The sequence below is a fragment of the Homo sapiens genome, chromosome 4, assembly GCF_000001405.40.
Source record: "Homo sapiens chromosome 4, GRCh38.p14 Primary Assembly".
NCBI lineage: Eukaryota > Metazoa > Chordata > Mammalia > Primates > Hominidae > Homo > Homo sapiens.
Genome location: NC_000004.12, coordinates 17118010 through 17139345, shown reverse-complemented (window position 1 = coordinate 17139345; position 21336 = coordinate 17118010).

Sequence of the window (21336 nt, the reverse complement as noted above, 5' to 3'; positions counted from 1 at the left end):
GTATTTGGAGATTAACAATTCCTAAGCCACCTTGAATCAATGACACTTGTATGGCTGTATACATACCCCAGGTGCCTCACTTTTTGAGGGGGATATTTGTGAAGAGTGTGTTTTGCATCACTTCCCAGAGTTTTCCCTGGGATGAAGTTCTAGCCACCCACCAGGGTAATTGGCTTAATAGCACACCCTTTATCAACTGCCTTCTCTTCCTTGTATGATTTCCCCTGGTCCCCTACTGGGGTTCCCAGCACATTCCAAATAAATGTCTTACTCAAATTCTTGTCTCTAGTTCTGTTTCTGAGAAGACCCAAATTAAAATAAACATTACACATTGTTCCAGCAGCAGTAACTCAGGAGTATTCCATTCAACTATTTAACATACTCTACTGTGAGCTACATTGGCTAAGGACTTTGAGTTTTATTTTAAACACTTATAAAGACACCAAAGATTTGAGTTCTCTGTAAAGACCAATTATACCTAAGGAAGGGTTATATTTCTTTAGGGATTTCAAGGTCTGCTAACTCCTGTTAAGTGGGGTTTTCAGACCATAAAATGCAAAATCATTCTTGGTATCACTATTTGTGAGCCCAGGAAGAAAAGGGGAGACAATAAGATTGTTTCCAATGATTCTGAAATTATTAGAGGATAGTAGCAGTGTGAAATTTTGAAATCTGGTTGATTAATGCATTGTAGCTTTAAAACAATTTATTGTATTATATTCTGAGAGTACTAGAAGTAAATGTTTTCAGTATGATTATAGCAGCTGCTATAGTGGGCCAGAGGAATGTATTCAAATGCTTATTGCTGATAAAGAATATATGTAAACTTAGGATATTCATGCATTCATTCATTAATTCACCCTGCCAAATATATTATTAGGCTGTTGAAGTTCTCTGTGGAAATTTTCAGGTCAGTGATTGTGTTCTTCAACTCCAGAATTTCCGTTTGGTTCTTTTTTATGGTTTCTATCTCTTTGTTAAACTTCTCATTTTATTTATATATAGTTTCTCTGACTTCATATAGGTGCATATCTGCGTTCTCTATAGCTCACTGAGCTTCAGGTTGATCATATTTAATTCTTTGTTAGGTAATCTCCATTTCTTCAGGTTTGGTTACCAGTGCTTTATTTATTTATTTTTTGTTTGTTTGTTAGTTTTGGTGGGGGCATGTTTCCTTGATTATTTGTGATCCTTATGGCCTTGTATTGTTATCTCTGTGTTAGAAGGAGTAGGCACCTCTTCCAATCTTTACAGACTAGTTTTGGCAACGAAAGTCCTTCACCAGCCAGCCCATCCAGAGACTCTGGGTGGGCTGGATGGCAGGGTCTGTGGGTGGGCTTGCAGTTATGTTTCTTAAGGTGAGCTGGTTTAGTGCCTGAGTCCATGAGGGTGGGCATAGAGCCCTGGGTACTCAGGGGTCAACCTAGTGATGAGGTCCACTGGAGTGGGCCTGGAGCATTGGTCTGTGGGTGCCATTCTGGCATGTGGGGATTCCAAGCCTGGTCTGGTACTGGAATAGTTCTAGAGTTTAGGTCTGCAGAGGCTGGTCTGGAAGCTAGGTATCTGAGGGTCAGTCTGTTGTCTGGGTCCATGGGGTTGGCTTGGGGGTCTGGGTCAGTAGGGGATGGCCTGGCAATAGGGTGGGCCAGGAACCTCACACTATGGTGGCCAGCCTGGTGCTAGAGTGGGCCTATAGTCTGGGTTGGTGGGGCTAGACTGGTGCCCGGGTCTGCAGGGATTGCCTTGGAGCTTGGGGCCTTAGGGGCCAGCTTGGCCCTGGGGTGGGCCTGAAGCCTGGTTCACAGTGGTCAGTTTGGTACCATGAGTCACTGGCAGGGCTGGTGCTGGGTCCACAGTGAAGTTGGGTGCTCACTTTGTTCTCCTTCCCCCACTTGGAAGGCATCTCTCACCACACTGTGCTGTGTGAGCTTGGGGAAGGGAAGAGGTGAAGTGGGTAATGTGAAATTGTCCTTCCTATCATCTTCAATGTTTTTCTTATTTCTGTGCTACATTTGGATGATATAATCTCTCACCTGGATTTCTTAACTCTTATGAAGTTGCTTTTATGCATGCATAGTTATTCAAATTAATGTTTCTGCAATTGGATAAGCACTAGAAACTCCTATCCTGCCATCTTGCTGGCATCACTCTCCAGACCCGTTCTACCTGAGATTATTTCTCTATGTAATTACCTGTTAGTTTTATGTCTCCCACACTAGGATGTAATCTCCATGTGAGTGGTTAAGGGCTTTGTCTTTTTCATTGCTCTATCTTTAGCACTTCACGTAGTACCTGATACAGTTCAATATCCATTTGTTGAATGAATCAATGAATAAAACCCAAGTTATTCTCAAATCCACAGATGTATAAAAAACTGAATGGACCTGAAAATTCTGACAAAACTGTTGTCATATTTCATGACTGTTCTGCCTAGGATTAAGCTAGCTCTAGACTGTTATGTTCATAAAAAGTCACTAACAATTTCCATAATAAACTCACTTTTCATGGACACATGCCCTTTGCTTGGTCTTGTGGGCTGGATACAATAAGCATAATTAAAGCAATAAATAAAAGTGCCACTAGCCACATGGGACGCAGAATTCACTCCCAAGGGCATCCCATGGTTTCTGACCCCTGTTTTACTAAATAGACACTTAAATAGAGGAAGGAGAAGCGCACATAAATAATAAATGAGTGGATATAAGCCCACTGTCTGCTGCCTCCATAACTCAAGACCACAGCTTTTCTGAGGTGGTCTTTTTGCTCCATGAACCTGAAGATGATGCTCATGCTACTGTTTCCAGAGACCAGAGCTGTTTCCAATTTGTCTCTGTTGTATGGTCCACTTAATAGCCAAAGAACTGTTTCATCTCCTGAATGCTGGTGTTCTCCATGGAGCTCTCACACTTCTGCACATCCTGTGAGTAGGGGTATTGGAAACCTTTTCTGAATTATCTTTTTGCTTAAGTTTGCACAGCAAAGAGCCTTGGAAGATAAAGATAATGTCTCCCTTTAGGAGAAAGGTTGGGCAGGGTTGCCCAATCTTCATAATAGATGGAATTCCTTAAACTCAGTGCCCTTCGTCTATAATGCAATCCACTGTGCAGGTGTTACCTGGTCCTCTTCACATCTCTCTGTGGGAATTGAGGCTTGGGGAGCTGGCACAAACATTGGTGATATTTCAGCTATTGCTGTGGCTGTTTTGTCCTTGTTTGTGACCCAGGAGTCTTGTATCTTCTGCCAGCATCCATAAAACTTTGGCAGGTTAAGTTGTTAACTTGCAATGAGTGTAAAATCTCAGACCTTTACAGTCTTGACAATTGGAGTTTGGTAATTTCTTGTTGATTGGGCAGGATACCTGTGATAAAAATATAAAGTCTGGTGATAAAATGAGGAAATATCTGAAAGCTATATCTCATGAGGAGCAGTTGAAGGAACCCAAAGAATTCATCCTAAAGAACAACAGCCCAAGAGAGAACATGAATTCAGCCTTCTAGTCTTTTAAGAGTAACATGGAAGAAATGAATGCTCTTTGGGCTGCTACAAAAGCCAAAGTTCAAGCCAATATGTGGAAGACATATGGAAGCAGATTTCAGCCAACTGGGAAGGAGATATGCACCTCACCTGCAAAGAACTGTGACTAATGCAGAGAAACTGACTGGATTTTATAATAAGATAGAAACTGTTTTGTTAAGACTTTAATTAGACATGCTGAAGAACAGAATGGGTCCCCTGAGTGGGTCCTGGGCTCAAGGATATGGAAGGCGGTTAAAACACATCTCTGGAATCATTTATAAAGAGGCCACTCTTCTATTAGATAAGAGATTATTTCAGGTAATATCTTAGGTTTTTTAGAACAATCTCAGATTCTAGACATTTTTGGTTATCATCTTGCTGATAGGTCCCTTCTAGACCACAGGTTCAGGGAGGTTAGAATGCAAGTTTTGGTGTGAACTTGCCTGAAACTTTTAAGCCACTCTCTATACTCCTTTCCATAGCATTCAGCTGACTTCTCATAAAAGCAGAATTCTAGTCTAGAGAAAACCCAGAAACATATATGAGAAACTTTAGGAAGGAGCCAAGTCATACTGACTACTTCATTATTTACTCATTCATTCAATGGAGTTACTCAGCATCTAATTTGTACTAGACCCTGTGCTCGGTAAGGAGAATGTGGGGAAAAGTGACATCAAGTTGGGAACACAGATAAATAAGAGTACATCTTTCTTAGTGTTAAGACAGATGTAAACCCAGAGTTCTGTAGGAGCAAAGAGGGGAAACATGAAGTAGAGTAGGCATAGAAAGAGAGTGAGGAGACATTTCCCAGAGGAATTGAGCAATTTTAGAAGTTTAGGTTAGGGTGTAACTTGCAGAAGGAAAAGCATGTCCTGTGTCACAGAGATGGGAAACCACCTAGTATCCAAGGGACTATGAATAGTATAATCTGTCCTAAGCAAAGGTTGCATATGGAAGAATGAAAGGGCTGGGGATTTAAGCAAAAGCCATATCACAAAAGGTCTTGTGAGACAGAAATGAATAGAATTTCCTTTTGCAAAGATGACTCCAGCTGCATGAGCAGGATAGACTGGAGGGAGAATGGCTTAGCAGCAGGAGATCAGTCAGGGAGTGGCTGCAATAATCCAGGATGTTGAAGGTTGAAAAAGTGTGATGAGTGTACACTCTGAATTATGGGCAGAAAAGTATGCTGGATTTGCCTTAGAAACCCTTTATGTGTCAAGAATAATTTCAGAGTTCTGAATCTTGGACACTGTAGCCTGTCTAGGCAAAGGACTCATGATCAAATGTGCAAGGGGTAATCCCATTGATGGGGATATCGGTGGCAGCAGGTAGGCTGGGTTGGCCTATCTTTATTGGTCTGGGCTTTTCCAGTTCTTCTGAAAGGCATTATGGGTGGTGGGTGCATCCTCCAGTGTCTATGGCAATCCTTTAAAGATTGGGTGCTGAAATATTTCTGAAAGGGAAAGGGCTTGGTTGCTTGGAAACCAATGGCCACTATTAACCACACCTACCAGCCCGCTCCAGATGAAGTCCTTTCTCTTTAGAAAGGAATTTCTAATTTCTCCCGTCAACTGCCACTGCCTACGTACTTAATTTCCTTTTGGGGTGTAGCAACCATCTGGCCTGCTAACAAAGGGTTTCTAACTGATTATGCAAAATGTTCATAGTTAATACTTGGCCAGATGTGAGTCTTTCTTTTCTTGACCCCTTCTTTGAAATCAGAAGAAAACTGGGCAGGTTTTTTTCTTTCTTTCTTTGGGGCTAAGAACAAATAACACAGTGACAGTATCTTTTAGAGTTCTCATGTCCATTTCTTTTTTCTAATTGATTTTTATTGAATATCCCCAACTTCAGGCAAAGAGCTGGGCTAGACAGCGGCAGATCAGAGGAAGAAAGATGAGACCATTTCCCCCCAGGAGGTCATAATCAGGCTGGGGAGAGAAGAAGACAGGCAGGAAGTATGGGCAATAGGGCTCAGGATGTGCTACCCTCTTAAAGTGGTGGCCCAGAGCCTAGCACAACAACCTTATGCCTGGTCCTTAGAGTGTGCTCAAAGTGGATTCATAACAGAAAACAAATCTGTTGAATCAGAACTCTCCATGCCCGGTCTTCTTCTGCACTCACCATAGGTTCCTAACAAAATGAACAGATAGTCAAAGCAATTCAATCATGGCCCAATGACGTGAATCCAGGAGAATAAAAAGAGAAGCACAGGAGCACAGCTGGGTGCAGGGAGGACCTTGGGGAGGCCCCTAAAGGAGCTCTCACCCCAGGCATGGTAACCAGGAAGTCAACTACATGTTGAGAATTGTTACAGGCTGAATTGTAACCTCTTCCTTCACATTCATATGTTGAAGCCCCCTCCAACTCTCAGTGCCTCAGAATGTGACTATTTTTGGAGAGAAGGTATTTAAAGAGATGATTAGGTTAAGATGAGGCTATTAGGGTGAGATCCCTAATATACTAAGACTCGTATCCTTAGAGGAGGATGAATAGACTCCAGGGATATAAGCACAGAAGAAAGGCCATCTGAGGACATGGCAAGAAGTCGGCCATCTGCAAGCTAAGAAGAGAGGCTTCAGGAGAAACCAACCTGCTGGCCTTGAGATCTTGAACTTCCAGGCTCCAGAAATGTTAACCAATACATTTCTGTTATTTTAGCCAGCCAGTCTGTGGTATTTTGTTATGGCAGCCCTAGCAACTTCTATAAGAATATTCACACAGACCATCCAAACCTGGAGAGAAGCAAACTTAATGTATTTTTCTTCTTATAATTGGAACAGTGAGAAAAGCTGCAAGGACAAGTCTAATGACAAATGGAAGGCAAAGAGGTCCCAAAGAGTGATATGCTCTGATGCAGTGAGGACTCTGAGGCTCCATGCTGAATCAAAGCAATGAAGCCAGAGGCAGTCCTCTCCCTGCTGGGAATAGCTTAATTCCCCCAGGCCCCCCAAGTAAGTAAACACTGGAAGAGGGCATTTAACACAGTGTCAGAAGAGAGAGGAGCCGCCAGGGATCCCAAGGGTGTCACATCTAATAGAATCTTGCACTTTGGTCAGCTGAGCTTCCCTGACCCTCTCCTCCAACCATCACCATCCTGAAAAGATACACCAAAAGGAACACATAGTAGCTATCCTCAAAAATGCATGTTGAGGAAGAAATTATTAGTCTTAAAAGTCACACTGGAACAAAGAGAAGCACTTTTAAGAACTAGTCAGTAAGAGCAAGATGAAAAAAAGAAAAGAATTTAAAAAAAGAGTGTGACAACTATAGAAATAAACCACAAGAAAAAGTAAAGAAAAAGAAAATTTCATCCAAAACATAGAGAATTCAGTCTAGAAGAAAACATAACCCAAGGAACCAAAGGCAATTCCCCATGTGTTTCTAGTTATTGAGCAACTGGGTGAGAGTGTGAATTCAATAAAAACAAATGCTCAAAGATGAGCTACTAAAGCAATAGAACACGATGCAGAGGGACATTGCCGCCCTATGGAAGAAAAATGGTAGAATAACATGCTTTCAGTACAGAACTAAAAAATAAAATTAAAAAACTAAAGAAGGGAAGAGACATTGCTGAAAATTTAATTATTGAAAATACAAAAAGGCTTGAAAACAGTACCAATGAAGGTGGATTAAAAAGACCAAGAAAAGTAACTGCTGATAGGGCAGAAAAAGATAAATCTAACCATTATTCAATTCATTTAGCAAGTATTATAGAGTCCATCTGTGACACCAATGAGTTTACAGACAATAAACATAAACAGGCCAACATGTCACATGGTGATAAGCAACAAGGAGAAACAGAAAGCAAAGGAAAATTGGAGAGGGCAGTGGTGGGGCTGTAGCTATTTTATACAGGATGTTCAGAGAAGGCTTCATGGGGCAACTCTGGAGGTGAGACCTGAATGAAGTGAGGGAACCAGCCCGAGGTTATTTAGGGAAAGTGAGTTCCAGGAAAAAGGAACGCAAATGCAAAGGCCTGGGTGAGAACATGCCTGATACATTTGGGAGCTTCATGGGGGCCATTGCGAAGGGAACAGAGAATGGGGAAGGTGCTAGGAGATGAGGCCAGAGAAGTGGAAGGGGCCAGATGAGCATTGCCTTGTAGGCCGTGGCAGGGATTGGGTATGAATTCCATAGAATGCTTTGAATGGAAAAGGACAGGGTCACTGTGGATGAATTGTTGAGATGAGACTGTTGTGAAGTGAGGGGGTGTGCGGAGAGAGCAGTTTGGAGATTGTTGCAGTAAATGAAGCAAGAGATGATGGTGGGATAGAGCAGGGCCAAGGGGAGGTTGGTGAGAAGCAGTCAGATTCTGGATCTATTGAAGGGAGAGATCAGAAGATTTGTAGGATCAGATATGGAGTCTGAAAGAAGGAGAGGAACCAAGGGTAACTGCAAAGGTTTTGGCCTTAGAATTTGGAAGGTTAAAGCCCCCATTTATGAAACTGGGGAGATTCTGGTAGTAGCAGGTTTGCGATGGGAGCCAAAGTCTGGATTTGGGTGTGTTAAATTTGCACATAATTCAAGTGAAGATACGGGAGGTGGTTAGATGTACAATTCTGGAATTTTGAGAAATGCTCTGGCTTAAAGATATAAATGTGTGTGTTATCAGTGCATAACTGAAGTCTTTGAAGTGGAGAACTCAGCAAATAGAACAGAAAAAATATTCAAAGATATAATGAAATAAAAAATTCATGACTCTGCAGATTAACAGAACTAGCTCTGCTTCAAAACAATTTAATGGAGAGCCCCTAAGCAGAGAGGGCATGCAATGTGGAGACATATCCTGGTTTCGTTGCTGAACTTCCAAGAAAAATAATGAGCTCTTCAGGCATCCCGGAAGAATAAGTAAGTCACAGAAGCAGGAGACAAGAAGACTGATCACAGCATTATTCAGTAGTTGAAGGTAATAGACCAATGTCTACATTTTTTTTTTTTTTTTTGAGATAGAGTCTTGCTCTGTTGCCCAGGCTAGAGTGCAGTGGCACAATCTTGGCTCACTGCAACCTCTGCCTCCTGGGTTCAAGCAATTCTCTTGCCTCAGCCTCCCAAGTAGCTGGGACTACAGGCAAGTGCCACCACGCCTGGCTAATTTTTTGTATTTTTAGTAGAGATGGGTTTCACCGAGTTAGCCAGGATGGCCTCCATCTCCTGACCTTGTGATATCCCCATCTCAGCCTCCCAAAGTGCTGGAATTACAGGTGTGAGCCACCATACCCAGCCCAATGTCTACATTTTTTGGAGGAAATTGTGATTCAGTAATATCAGTTATAACCAAGATGTTGTTCAAGAATAGGACGACAGGCAGATATTCTTAAATAACTCATAGAACTCAGGAAATATTGCACCCTCGAGCTCTTACTGGGAAAAAATCACTTAAAAATGAAATCAGGCCACTTAAGAGATGAATCAAAGCGTAGCAGTGAGGAATGGAGGATGTGGTAAGAGTGAACATTGAATCCATTTAAATATAGACTTAATACTAAAAAATTGTTGAGAATTATTGCTACAAAGCAGAATGCAAATACTACAGTCCTGACAGAGTAAAATGATGCTCTAGCTAACGAAAACTGGGAGGTGGCGGGAGGTTTGGAGGGAAGAAGTGTGAGAGTGCTAATGGCTTCTTTGCTCACGGGAGTCAATCAATGCTGCATAAAATTGAAACTTATTAGTTTAAAAACATCTAATGTCTCTAATGATGATCATCATAATTTTATTACCTAACATCAGAAGTGTTTTTAAATATCTATTATAGTAAAGAAACATTTTAAGATTAGCAATTCCTTCCATTTCATTTTAATTTTTTTTTGTTTTGGTAAATTCAAGTAAACATTCAATAAAAATACTGCTTATAGCATGATTCTATTTTTAGAAATGTATGTATCAATCTATTATCTATCTGTATATATAGATAGAAAAATATGTGGAACAATGTTTATCTGGAATATTGATGGTTAGTTTTGGGTGAGATCATTTGAAATGATTTTTAATTTGTTGGGAATTTTTTTGTTTATGCTTTTCTGCATTGCTTGAGTTCACAATAAGTGTATATTTTATTTACAAAAATAATATTATATATATATTTAAAAGTAATCATGAGACATTGCTTGTGAGTGGCTCCCAGAAGGAGTGAGAAAAAATATTACTGAGGAAGACTTCTTGGAAGAGGGGCTTTAAGGAGAGCATTTCCCATTGGGAAATACCTGGATGGGCCTAAGGAAAGAAAAAATATGTGAAGATGTAGAACCACATAGGGAAAGCCAGGGCAAAGATACTTCTTATTCAAGGAGTAAAGAAAGCCTCCTTATATTCATCACCCATTATGTGCCAGACTACAAGTATCTGTCTCTCGCAAGGTAAAGGCTATTATCCCCATATGTAGTAAAGGGTTAATTCAGCAGACTTGGTGTGTTCGAACCCTGTACGTTCCAAAGAAAGGACTGGCCCTTGACCAGCTCCGGAGGGGTAATCTCTGCACCATTGGAATATCCTGCCTAGTAAAAGTGTCTTCGTATGACTGAAGCTTTAGCCCCATACCAGATAGTTTAGGTTGCTTACGCTGACAATGTGATTTAAAGTGAACACCTGTTTTTGTTCACCTGAGGCCTAGCTTGCATCAAGTTTGACCTCTGGGGATGCTGAACACTGAGTAGTTAAGATCAGTCACATGGGTACTCCATGCTGACATAACTGACCCCAAATAAAAACCCTGGACACCAAGGCTTGGCTGAGCATCTCTGGTTTTGGCAAAGCTTTGTATGTGTTGTCACACATCATTTCTGGGAGAATTAAGTGCTGTCAGTATGATTCCACTGGGAGAGGACAATAGGAACCTTGTACTTGTCTCTCTGGGACTCTTCCCTATGTACCTTTTCCTTTGGTGATTTTGATCTGTATCCTTTCACTGTAACAAACCATAACTGTGAGTATAAAAGGTTTTTTTCCTGAATTTTTTTAGTCCTTCTAGTGAATCATTGAATCTGAAGGTGGTCTTAAAGACCTCCCACAGAACTCCACTTTACATATGAACTAAAGCTCAGAGGATCTATGTGACTAGCTTATGATCACACAACCAGTAAACAAAAGAACCAGGGTTGAAACCTACGTCTTCCTGGCTATACAGCCTCACTTTTATCTCTGCAACAGAGGTTTTCAAACTAATTTTTTCTTTTTAGCAGCATAATGTTTTGGGTTGGGTATACAAAAAAAGGTAACAAGATTCCCAATATGCAAATTAAGAAGTAGAACAATACAGTATTTTTGTTGAAGTGTGGGTGGATGGTGGCCACATGTCATTTGGCCCACCTCCTATCCCTGAAATGGAATGCATTAACCTCATTAGAATCCTCTGGAAAAACGGATGTTGGGAAATGCACCCTGGATTGTGTCATTGAAAAACACTAGAGTGAAACTATTTTCTCAGGACCGGTCCTCACACTCCAAGATGCTGTTTTGTGGAAGCTAAATGGAGCCTGGGCTATTTGGATTCTGTAATTCCAAATTGGTCTATTGATAAATCCAATATTGACTTGACAGCCTCTGAAGCTTCATCATGCCAAGCTAGATCTTTGGAAACAAGGCTGGAAACCCACTCCAGTCACATTTGCTACCTTTAGACCATCCTCCCTCATCAGCCTTTTTTCACTGTCTAACTCCTCCATGGCCATCTCGGGCTTCATGTGATCCTGGAAGTTGCTCCTGACCCCTCAAGTCATAGCTCAGTGAACCCTCTGTTTAGGATGATGAACTGTTCCGGTTTGCCTGAGGCTGCCCCAGTTTTACCACTGCAAGCCCCATATTCCAGGAAACACCTCACTCTCACATAAACAGGATGTTTTTTTTTAACCCTACTTTAGTCTTCTGTAGTAGTGTCCCTCAAATTCGAATGTGAATTCGAGTCACGAAGGATCTGAAAATGCAGACTTTGCTTCGGTAGGGACAGTGAGGCCTGAGATTTTGCATTTTTAACCAGCTCCCAGGTGCTGTTGCTGCTATGGTCCTGCTGGTGTCAGGACCACAGTTTGAGTGGCAAAGGATTGGGGCACGCTTTGCTTTCTCTGTGTCGGTGATCATTGCACTTGATTGTAATTTCCTGTGTGTTGATTTCCCCCACTAACCCGTGAATTCCCCAAAGAATGGAACTGTATCCGAAGCACCTGTATTCCCAATATTAATAGGACGCCCAGCACAAATTAGGTGTTCAAAAGATTCCCTTTGGGCGAGAAGAAAAGAGAGTAGAATTCGTTAAGAGGGGCCCAGATTTGTGCTTGAGGACCAGCCAGGACCAGTAACTAAAGACCAGTTGACTAAAGATTTTTGTGTGGAATGAGTAAGGAATTGGGGTAAGGATTTTTGAGTCGAGTTTGATGTTATGCCCCTAAAGAGATCACTGGCACGTGTGACCAGAGGGAGCGCGTGGGTCTGAAATGGAATGCATTAACCTCATTCAAATCTTCTGGAAAAATGGATGTTGGGAAATGCACCCTGGATTTTGTCATTTAAAAACACTAGAGTGAAAACTATTTTCTCAGGACTGGTCCTCACACTCCAAGATGCTGCTTTGTGGAAGCCAAAGGGATCGTGGGCTATTTAGATTCTGTAATTCCAAACTGGCCTATTGATAAATTCAGTATTGACTTGATTTGTGTTAGGTAGAATCAACAATGCCTCCGTGAGATGGCCTATTCAACAGAAGTGGGGAAACACTCTGAGAAGTTAAGCAACTTGTCCAAGATCACACAGAGAGTAAGCTGGACAGGGCTGAATACAATTGTATGATTCCTAATTAGAGCTCTTTCAGCTACAACACACCAAATCCCAGAGTAAAAAACAAAACAAAACAAAAAACTATTGTGTGCCAGGCAGGGGGAATGTGGTTTTTGTCCCCTATTGCAGCATTTTCAGAGTATCTGGGAAATAGCATTGTTCCCCTCACAAACAGAACTGTCAAAGATTGAAAAAATTCAACTTTGCAGACTCCTAAAAGAAATGGTGGTTTGGCCAGTGACCTCTGAATTGAGCTGATTGAATCTGCACTAGGCATTGCCTGGAGCCAGCAGGACTGTAGCCTGACATAATTCTTCATCTACTCAAGTTATAAAGGGGGAAGCAAGGTTGTCCCTTATCTGGGAATCCCCCTTATTTGAAGGATTTTGACTAGACCTTGATGGTAATTAAATTGTTTTTAGGGCCTAATGCATAATAGGTAATGTTTGCTTCCTAATGGCCACCAGATGGTTTTTCAATGCTAATGAGGGGTGTATAATGACTCCCAGATTCCTAATAGAAGCTGTAGAAGTCAGCTGCTGTCAACCAAATGGATTCTCTGGGCAGAGTTAGTACTCCCCAGGGCTGGTCACCAAGCCTGGACTTGGGCAGAATTGGGACAGGGATTTTCCATACTTGTTGGTATTCACTGTTGGCTGTTGGCAATGAGGGCATGCTTAGATGACATCCACCTTGGACATTAGCACATAGTAGGTACTAGATGGAGCTTGCGTGTCGAATTCATCAAAGGATGTCACACTTGGAATAGATCTTACAGTGCAGGTTTGCCCACTTTTAATTAGTGTCAAAATCTCCCAGTATTATTTAAAAAATAACTTTCCTTTTTTAACTTTTATTATAAGAGTTATAGATCTGCAGAAAAATTAAAAGTCATAGATTAGCAAAAAGAACAAAAGAGAGAAAGAATGAAAGGGAAGAAAAAAGTAATGAAGAGAAGAGTAGAAAGAAGAATTTTTAAAAGGGGGAAAAAGCCATTTATAGGCTTACTGTATCTAGATCAATTTACCTAAATCTGGTTTGGCTAAAACAAGTTTGTCTATGAATCATTTGCCAATTTACATTTTTCTAAAATTAAATCCTCTTGTGCATCTTTTTGGAGCTTACTCTTTGTCCTTGCATCTTTTTGGCATGTAAGTATTCCTAACAAAAAAGGCACTTCTAACTTAAAAGCAATTCTAACTTATTTTTGTCTATCAAATTAGGATTTGTCAAAATTGCAATGTTTTATAAATAATAAGACACATTTGAAAGGCGGATGATCTTAGCAAATTATTAGTAGATATTTGGAGAAGTGATCTTTAGGAAAACTGGTTTTAGGTGAAGTGGCTGTTACTATACCCATTACCTATCTTTGACCAATCTCCATATTTGGTCTCTGTCTAGTCTTTTTGACATGAGTCTACTCATGTCAGTATAGACAAAGGGGATTATCTACACATGCACACATATACACTAATATATATACACACACATATACACACACAGAAACACACTCACATATATACATCTATGTATATATACATATAAAACATATATGTATGTATGTACATGCGAAGTACACATATATGTATGTTTCATTAGATACAGTATATTAAATATGCCTTATATGTATATCCTATACAGTGATATTTAAACAAAAATGAGATTTTAATTTAAAACCTACTCAATTAATGGAAACAATATATCACTAGAAATTCTACAACATTAAATACCTAGATAGTATTTGATTCCATTGATAGGTTATTGTTGGATGTTGCAGTTATTCCCAATGTTTCTCTATTACAAACAGCATGCTTCATGGCTTACTTTCCTTTTTGTTCCTAGCAATGTATCTCAAACATCTTTCATGACAGTATGTATAGATGATTCTTCTGGACAGTTACATAGTTTTTTACAAAATGGATGTGCCATAATCTTTCAAAACTGCTCCATAGTCTTTGGGGCTCAACTTGTGCGTGCATATGTAGTATTTCCTCAGATTAAATTCCTAGAGGTTGTATGCAAGCTTTTAAAGCTTTCGCTACATACATTTCTAAATTTCCCCCCAGAAACATTGTGCCAATTTATATGTCCACCAGGGGGATGTGATAACGCCTATTTCCTTTCACTGATCTCAACTCGGGGCTATCCTTTCTTTCTTTCTTTTTCCTTTAATTCCAAAAACAATAATGCTCATACTAAAAAAGAAAATCAAAAAACAAACCAATAATGAAGAATTATATAGAAAAAAAAGAGGATAAAATCTCCTTCTTTCTGTGTATCTCTTTCCCTGATCTTCCCATCCAGTTTCTCTACCAAGAGGGACCTCTGTTAAAATTTGGTGAGCATCCTTCTAGAACAACTCTATGCATTTAGATTGCATGTACTTGGTCATAAATGGAATCAGACTATGTATACACACATGTGCACACACACACACATACACACACACACACACTATATTGCTCACTTTTCTTTTTTCACCTCACAATATATCACAAACATCTTTCCATGACAATAAGTACCACTCTTGTTCAAAAGAATCAAGATGAGTCTACTTATGTCAGTGTAGACATGATTCATCTTGATTCTTTTGAACGATCACATAGTATTTAAAGAAAAAATGTGTCACAATCTTTTAAAACTACTCCTTATTAATGGACATTTAGCTCCTATATATTCACAATTTCTAATATTTTTAAAAAATTGGTCCATTTGATAAATGAGAAAATAATGTTATTTCTATCTTAATACACATTTCCATGATTTCTAATTTGGCTAAACATTTCTCATATACTCATTGACCATTTGTATTTTGTGTGCAAATTGCCAGCTACATGTTGAAGCAGATTCTGCTCGTGCTCCCTAATACCTGGATTATGCATTTCTAATAGTGTGCTTGACTGCATTTTCTAGGTCTTTTGCTTCTAAGTGGGGTCAAGTGGCTGTTGCTTATCAATTGAATGAGAGCAGAGGAAATATGTATCACTTCCCGGTTGAGATGGTTAAGGATGTGTCCTGAAATACAGAGGAGCCGCATGCTGGAAAGACCCTGGGTTCCTGAGTTACTACATGGAGCCGAAGCCCTTGTATCCATTTACGATGAACTATGATAGAAGCAAGAAATAAACTCAGTGTTGAGCCACTGAGATTTGGGCTTGTTTATTACAGGAACTAATATTACTTACCCTGAAAAATATATGGATAGGCGGCCAGGCGCAGTGGCTCACGTCTGTAATCCCAGCACTTTGGGAGGCCAAGGTGGGTGAATCACAAAGTCAGGAGTTCAAGACCAGCCTGGCCAACATAGTGAAACCCCATCTCTACTAAAAATACAAAAAAAATTAGCCATGCATGGTGGCAGGCGCTTGTAGTCCCAGCTACTTGGAGGCTGAGGCAGGAGAATTGCTTGAACCCAGGAGGTGGAGGTTGCAGTGAGCCGAGATGGTGCCAGCCTGGGAGACAGAGCGAGACTCTGTATAAAAATATATATATATAAAATATATATTATATATATAATGTATATATATATACATGTATATGTATGTATACGTATATACATATATGTGTATATGTATATATAATGTGTATATATATGCATTATATATATATGTACTCAGTAAACATTTGTTGAGGACTGAATGATTTACAACATCCTCTACATACATTAAAAAAGTACTGCATATAGGTATAAGTCCTAGACAGTGCTTGGTATACAGATGGACTTGTTGATTTCCTATAGTAATTCCATGACTTCCAAGAATTTGGGGCCTGTGGATTAAAGGCATTGGTGTGGTTAGACAAACTTACTTAGCAAATTGCAAAATTGAGACCCAGAGATAATTGACTTGTCCAAGATCACCAAGAGAGTGATTACTTAGCCATGACTGGATTCTAATTCTTCTAATACCTACAACAGTACAGTGCAGTGGTTAAAACAGGCAGTGTAGATACTTGACTCCAAACTCCCAGCTCTGCCGCTTACTTGTCATGTGGCCTTTAGTAACTTGTCTAAATCTCTGTCTTTCCCTCTTTGTGAAAAGGGGACAATAGTACCTCGGTGTCCCTGGGAAGTTTAAATAGGTAATAGTCAGCCTTCCTATCTGTGGGTTCTGCATCTGTGGATTCAACCAACTGTGGCTTAAAAATATTCAGAAAAAAATTCACACAGTTTCAAAAAGAAAACTTGAATTTGCTGTGCGCTGAGTACTGCATTGAATCCGGGTGAATGAAGTGATGTGTCAGCATTGTATTAGGTATTATCAGTAATCTAGAGAAGAGATGCTTTAAGGTATACAAAAGGATGTGCACAGGTTATATGCAAATACTATGGCATTTTATATAAGCAACCTCGGCAACTGCAGAGCTTGGTATCTGAGGGGGTTTCTGACATGCACATATACAGAATGACTGTATATGTAAGGTTATTGTGATTAAAGTGTTCCTCTCTGAAAAGGTAGTCAATACAAGAAAATAATGATTATAATTGTTTATATTAGACAGCTTTACTCATTATTCACTTACTGATCCCCTTTTTGTTTTATGCCAGATCCTTGCCAAGTGCTGAGAAAACAAAGATATGTAAGATGCTATCTCTACCCTTGAGAGGCTCAGGGTCTTGTGGTCTGAGAAAGACTCATTAGCAGGCTGTTACACTAATACAGGCCCGATGCTGTGTTCAGGTGCACAAAGGGAGTGACAGGCTCCATCTGAGGGGCACTGGAGGGTAGAGAGTGCATTCCTTGTCTTCCCTCTCTAGAGAGTGAGTACCTGTGTTTCTACATATGCATAAAGCATTCTAAGTGACTGAAATAAGCAGCAGGAGTACATAAAGGCCCAGACATGATAGGATGTAGTGACTCGAGGGGACACGAAAGTTTGGAGCCTCTATGTACCTCTTTCCGCACAGACTCCTACATGCTTCCTCTCTTTACATCATGGGTGTACCAAGCAGTTCTCAGACTTGAGTGTGCATCAGAATCCCTTGGAAGGCTTGTTGAAACACAGATTGCTGGACCCCAATTCCAGAGTTTCTCCTTCAGAAGGCTGGGGTTGGGGTTTGACATTTTGCATCTCTAATAATTCCCTGGGCAATGCTGATGCTGCTTGCCAGGGAACCACACTTTGAGAACCTCTGGTCTACCACAGCAGCTCTCATCCTGGCAGCAAATTAGAATCATCAGGGGAACTTCAAAAAATAGCAGTGCCAGGGCCCTGTCTCCCACATATTTCATTTCAGTTGATCTAGGGTGATGCTCATAGGCATATTTTTGTTTAGTTTTCCTTTTAATAGACTTTTAAAAATAGCAGTTTTAGGTTCACAGTAAAATTGAGGGAAGGTACAGAGATTTCCAATAACCCTGCTCCTCCACACATGCACAGCTTCTCCCACTATTAACACCCCCCACCAGAGTGTACATTTGTTATGGTTGACAAATTTACAATGACACATTATTATCATCTGAAGTCCAGCATTTACATTGGGGTTCACTCTTGGTGTTGTACATGCTATGAGTTTGGACAAACATGCAATCATATGTATCCACAATTACAGTAGCATACAGAATCACTATCCTGAAAATCTGCTGTGCTCTGCTTATTCATTCCTCTCTTCCCCTGTAACTCTTGGCAACCACTGATCCTTTTACTGTCTCCATAGTTTTGCCTTTTCCAGAATGTCATATAGTTGGAATCACACAGTATGTAGCATAGTTAGATTGGCTTCTCTCACTTAGTAATATGCAGTGATGTTTCCCCATGTCCTTTCACAGCTTATGGTTTATTTCTTTTTAGCCCTGAATAATATTCCATGTCTAGATGTACTACAGATTACTGACTGATTCACCTACTGAAGGACATACTGGTTGCTTTCAAGTTTTAATAATTATGACTAAAGCTGCCATAAACACCTGTGTGTATGTTTTTGTGTGAATACAAGTTTACAGTTCCTGTGAGTAAACACCAGAGAGTGTGACTGCTGGATTGTATGGTAAGAGTATGTTTAGTTTTTTTGTAAAACTGCCAAATTGTCATCCAAAGTGATTCTACAATTTTCCATTTCTGCCAGCAATGAATCAGCGTTCCTATTGCTCCACATCCTCAACAGCATTTGGTGTTGTCAGTTTTCTGGATTTTGGCCATTGTAGTAGGTAAGTAGTGGTAGCTCCTTATTCTTTTAATTTACATTTCCCTGATGACATACATCATAGAGCATCTTCTCTTATGTTTATTTGCCATCTGTACATCATCTTTGCTGAGGTGTCTTTACAGTCTTTTGCCCATTTTTCAGTTGGGTTTTTTCTTTTCTTATTTTTAAGTTCTAAGTGTTCTTTGTTTATTCTGAATAACGGTTATTTATCAGATATGTTTTTTTGCAAGTGTTTTCTCCCAGCCTGTGGCTTGTCTTTTCATTCTCCTGACAGTGTCTTTCACAGAAGAGAAAAATTTAATTTTAATGAAACTGAGTTTATCAATTCTTTATTTTATAGGTCATGTCTTTGGTGTTGTACAAAAAGTCACCTCCAAACTCAAAGTCATCTAGATTTTCTCCTATATTATCTTCTAGGAGTTTTATGGTTTTGCATTTTAAATTTAGGTCTGTGATCCATTTCGAGTTCATTTTTTTGAATAATGTAAGACCTGTGTCTAGATTTGTGTATTTATTTTTGCATGTGGATGTCTAGTTATTTCAGCACCATTTGCTAAAAAGACTATCTTTGTGCCATTGTATTGCCTTTACTTCTTTGTCAAATATCAGTTGATTTAATTTATTTGGGTCAATTTCTGGGCTTTCTATTCTTTTCCACTGGTTTGTCTATTTTTTTTTCACCAATACTGTACTCTCTTGATTATTGTCACATTTTAGTAAGTCTTGAGGTCAGCTAATGTCAGTACTTCAACTTTGTTCTTGTCCTTTAATATCGTGTTGGTTATTCTGGGTCTTTTGCTTCTCCATATAAACTGTAAAATTAAGTTTCTGGATATCCACAAAATAACTGCTAAGATGTTGACTGGCATGGCATTGAATCTATAGATCAAGTGGGAAGACTCAACATCTTGACAATATTGAGTCTTCCTATCCATGAACATGGAATATATCTGTATTATTTAGTTATTCTTTGATTTTGTTCATCAGAGTTTTGTAGTTTTCCTCATATAGATCTTGTTGTATATGTTTTGTTAGATTTATACCTAAGTATAGATGTTTAGGGGTGCTAATGTAAATGGTAATGTGTTTTTAAGTTTGAATTCCACTTTTTAAGTTGCTGGTATATAGGAAAGCAATGAACTTTTGTATATTAATCTTGTATTTTACAACCTTGCTATCATTGCTTTTTAGTCCCAGAAGGGTTTTTTTTTTTTTGTCATTTCAGTTTTCTACGTAGACAATTATGTTATCTGCAAAGAAATGTTATTTCTTCCTTTTCAATCCATATATCTTTTTTTTTCTTTTTGCATTAGCTAGGACTCCTGGTACAATATCAAAAAGGAATGGTGAGAGGGAACATCTTTGCCTTATTCCTGATCTTAGTGGAAAACCTTCAGATTTCTCATCATTACATATGACATTAGCTGCAGGTTTGTTGTAGTCCACACTTTATAAAGTTGAGGAAGTTATTTTCTATTCCTTGTTTCCTAAGGGTTTTTGTTATGAATCAGTGCTAGATTTTGTCAAATGATTTTTCTGAATGTATTGATATGACCATGTGGTTTTTCTTATTTAGCCTGTTGATGTGATGGATTACATTAATCAATTCTCAGATGTTGAACCCAACTCACACACTTGGGATAAATCCCACTTGGTCATAGTGTGTAATTTTTACATGTTTTTTTTTTTAATTTAATTTGCTAATATTTTGTTGAGGACTTTTGCATGTGCATTTATGAAAGATATTGGTTTGTAGTTTTCCTTTCTTGTAATGACTTTGTCTGGTTTTCATATTAAAATAATTCTGACCTCACAGAATGAGTTAGAAAGTATTCCCTCTACCTTTATCCTCTGAAAAGGTTGTAGATAATTGGTATAATTTTTTTTTAAATTTTGGTAGAAATCGCTTGTGAACCTATCTGGGCCTGTTGATTTCTATTATGAAAGGTTATTAATTATTGATTCAATTTCTTTAATTGGTAAAGACTAATTCAGGTTGTTTATTTCTTCTTATGACAGTTTTGGCAGATTGTGCTTTAAGGTATTGTTCCACTTTGCCTACATTCTCAAATTTGTGGGCATGAAATCATTTCTTTATTATTCTTTTAATGTCCATAAAGTCTGTAGTGATATCCTCTCTTTCATTCTGATATTAGTAATTTCTGTTCTCTCTCCTTTATTCTAGTTATCCTGGCTACATATTTTTTTTTTTAAATTTTACTCATCTTTTCAAATAACCAGCTTTTAGTTTTGTTGATTTTCCTATTGATTTACTGTTTTCAATTTCACTGATTTTTTTGCTCAATTTTTATTATTTGTTTTTTTCCTCTGCTTACTTTAAATTTAATTTGCTCTTCCTAGTTTCCTAAGGTGGCAGCTTAGATAATTATTTTTAGATTTTTTTCTTTTCTAATATGTACATTCAGTGCTATACATTTATTTGTAGGCACTGCTTTTGATGCATTTCTCAAATTTTGATAAGTTCTATTTTCATTTTCATTCAGTTCAAAATATTTTTAAATTTCTCTTGAGATTTCACCCTCAGCCTATGTGTTATTTGGAATGTGTTGTTTACTCTTCAAATATTTTAGAATTTTTCAACTATCTTCTTGTGACAAATTTTTAGTTTAATTTTTTGTAGTCTGAGAGCAGACGTTGTATAATTTATGTTCCTTTAAGTTTGTTAAGATGTGTTTTGTGGCCCAGAATGTGGTCTATTTTGGTGAATTTTCCATGTGAGCTTGGAAAGAATGTGTATTCTACTGTTGCTGGATGATATAGTCTATAGATGTCCATTATATTCAGTGGATTGATGGTGTTGCTGAATTCAACTATGTTATTTTCTGATTTTCCCCCGCAAGATCTATTTCTGATAAAGGAATGTTGAAGTCTTTAACCAT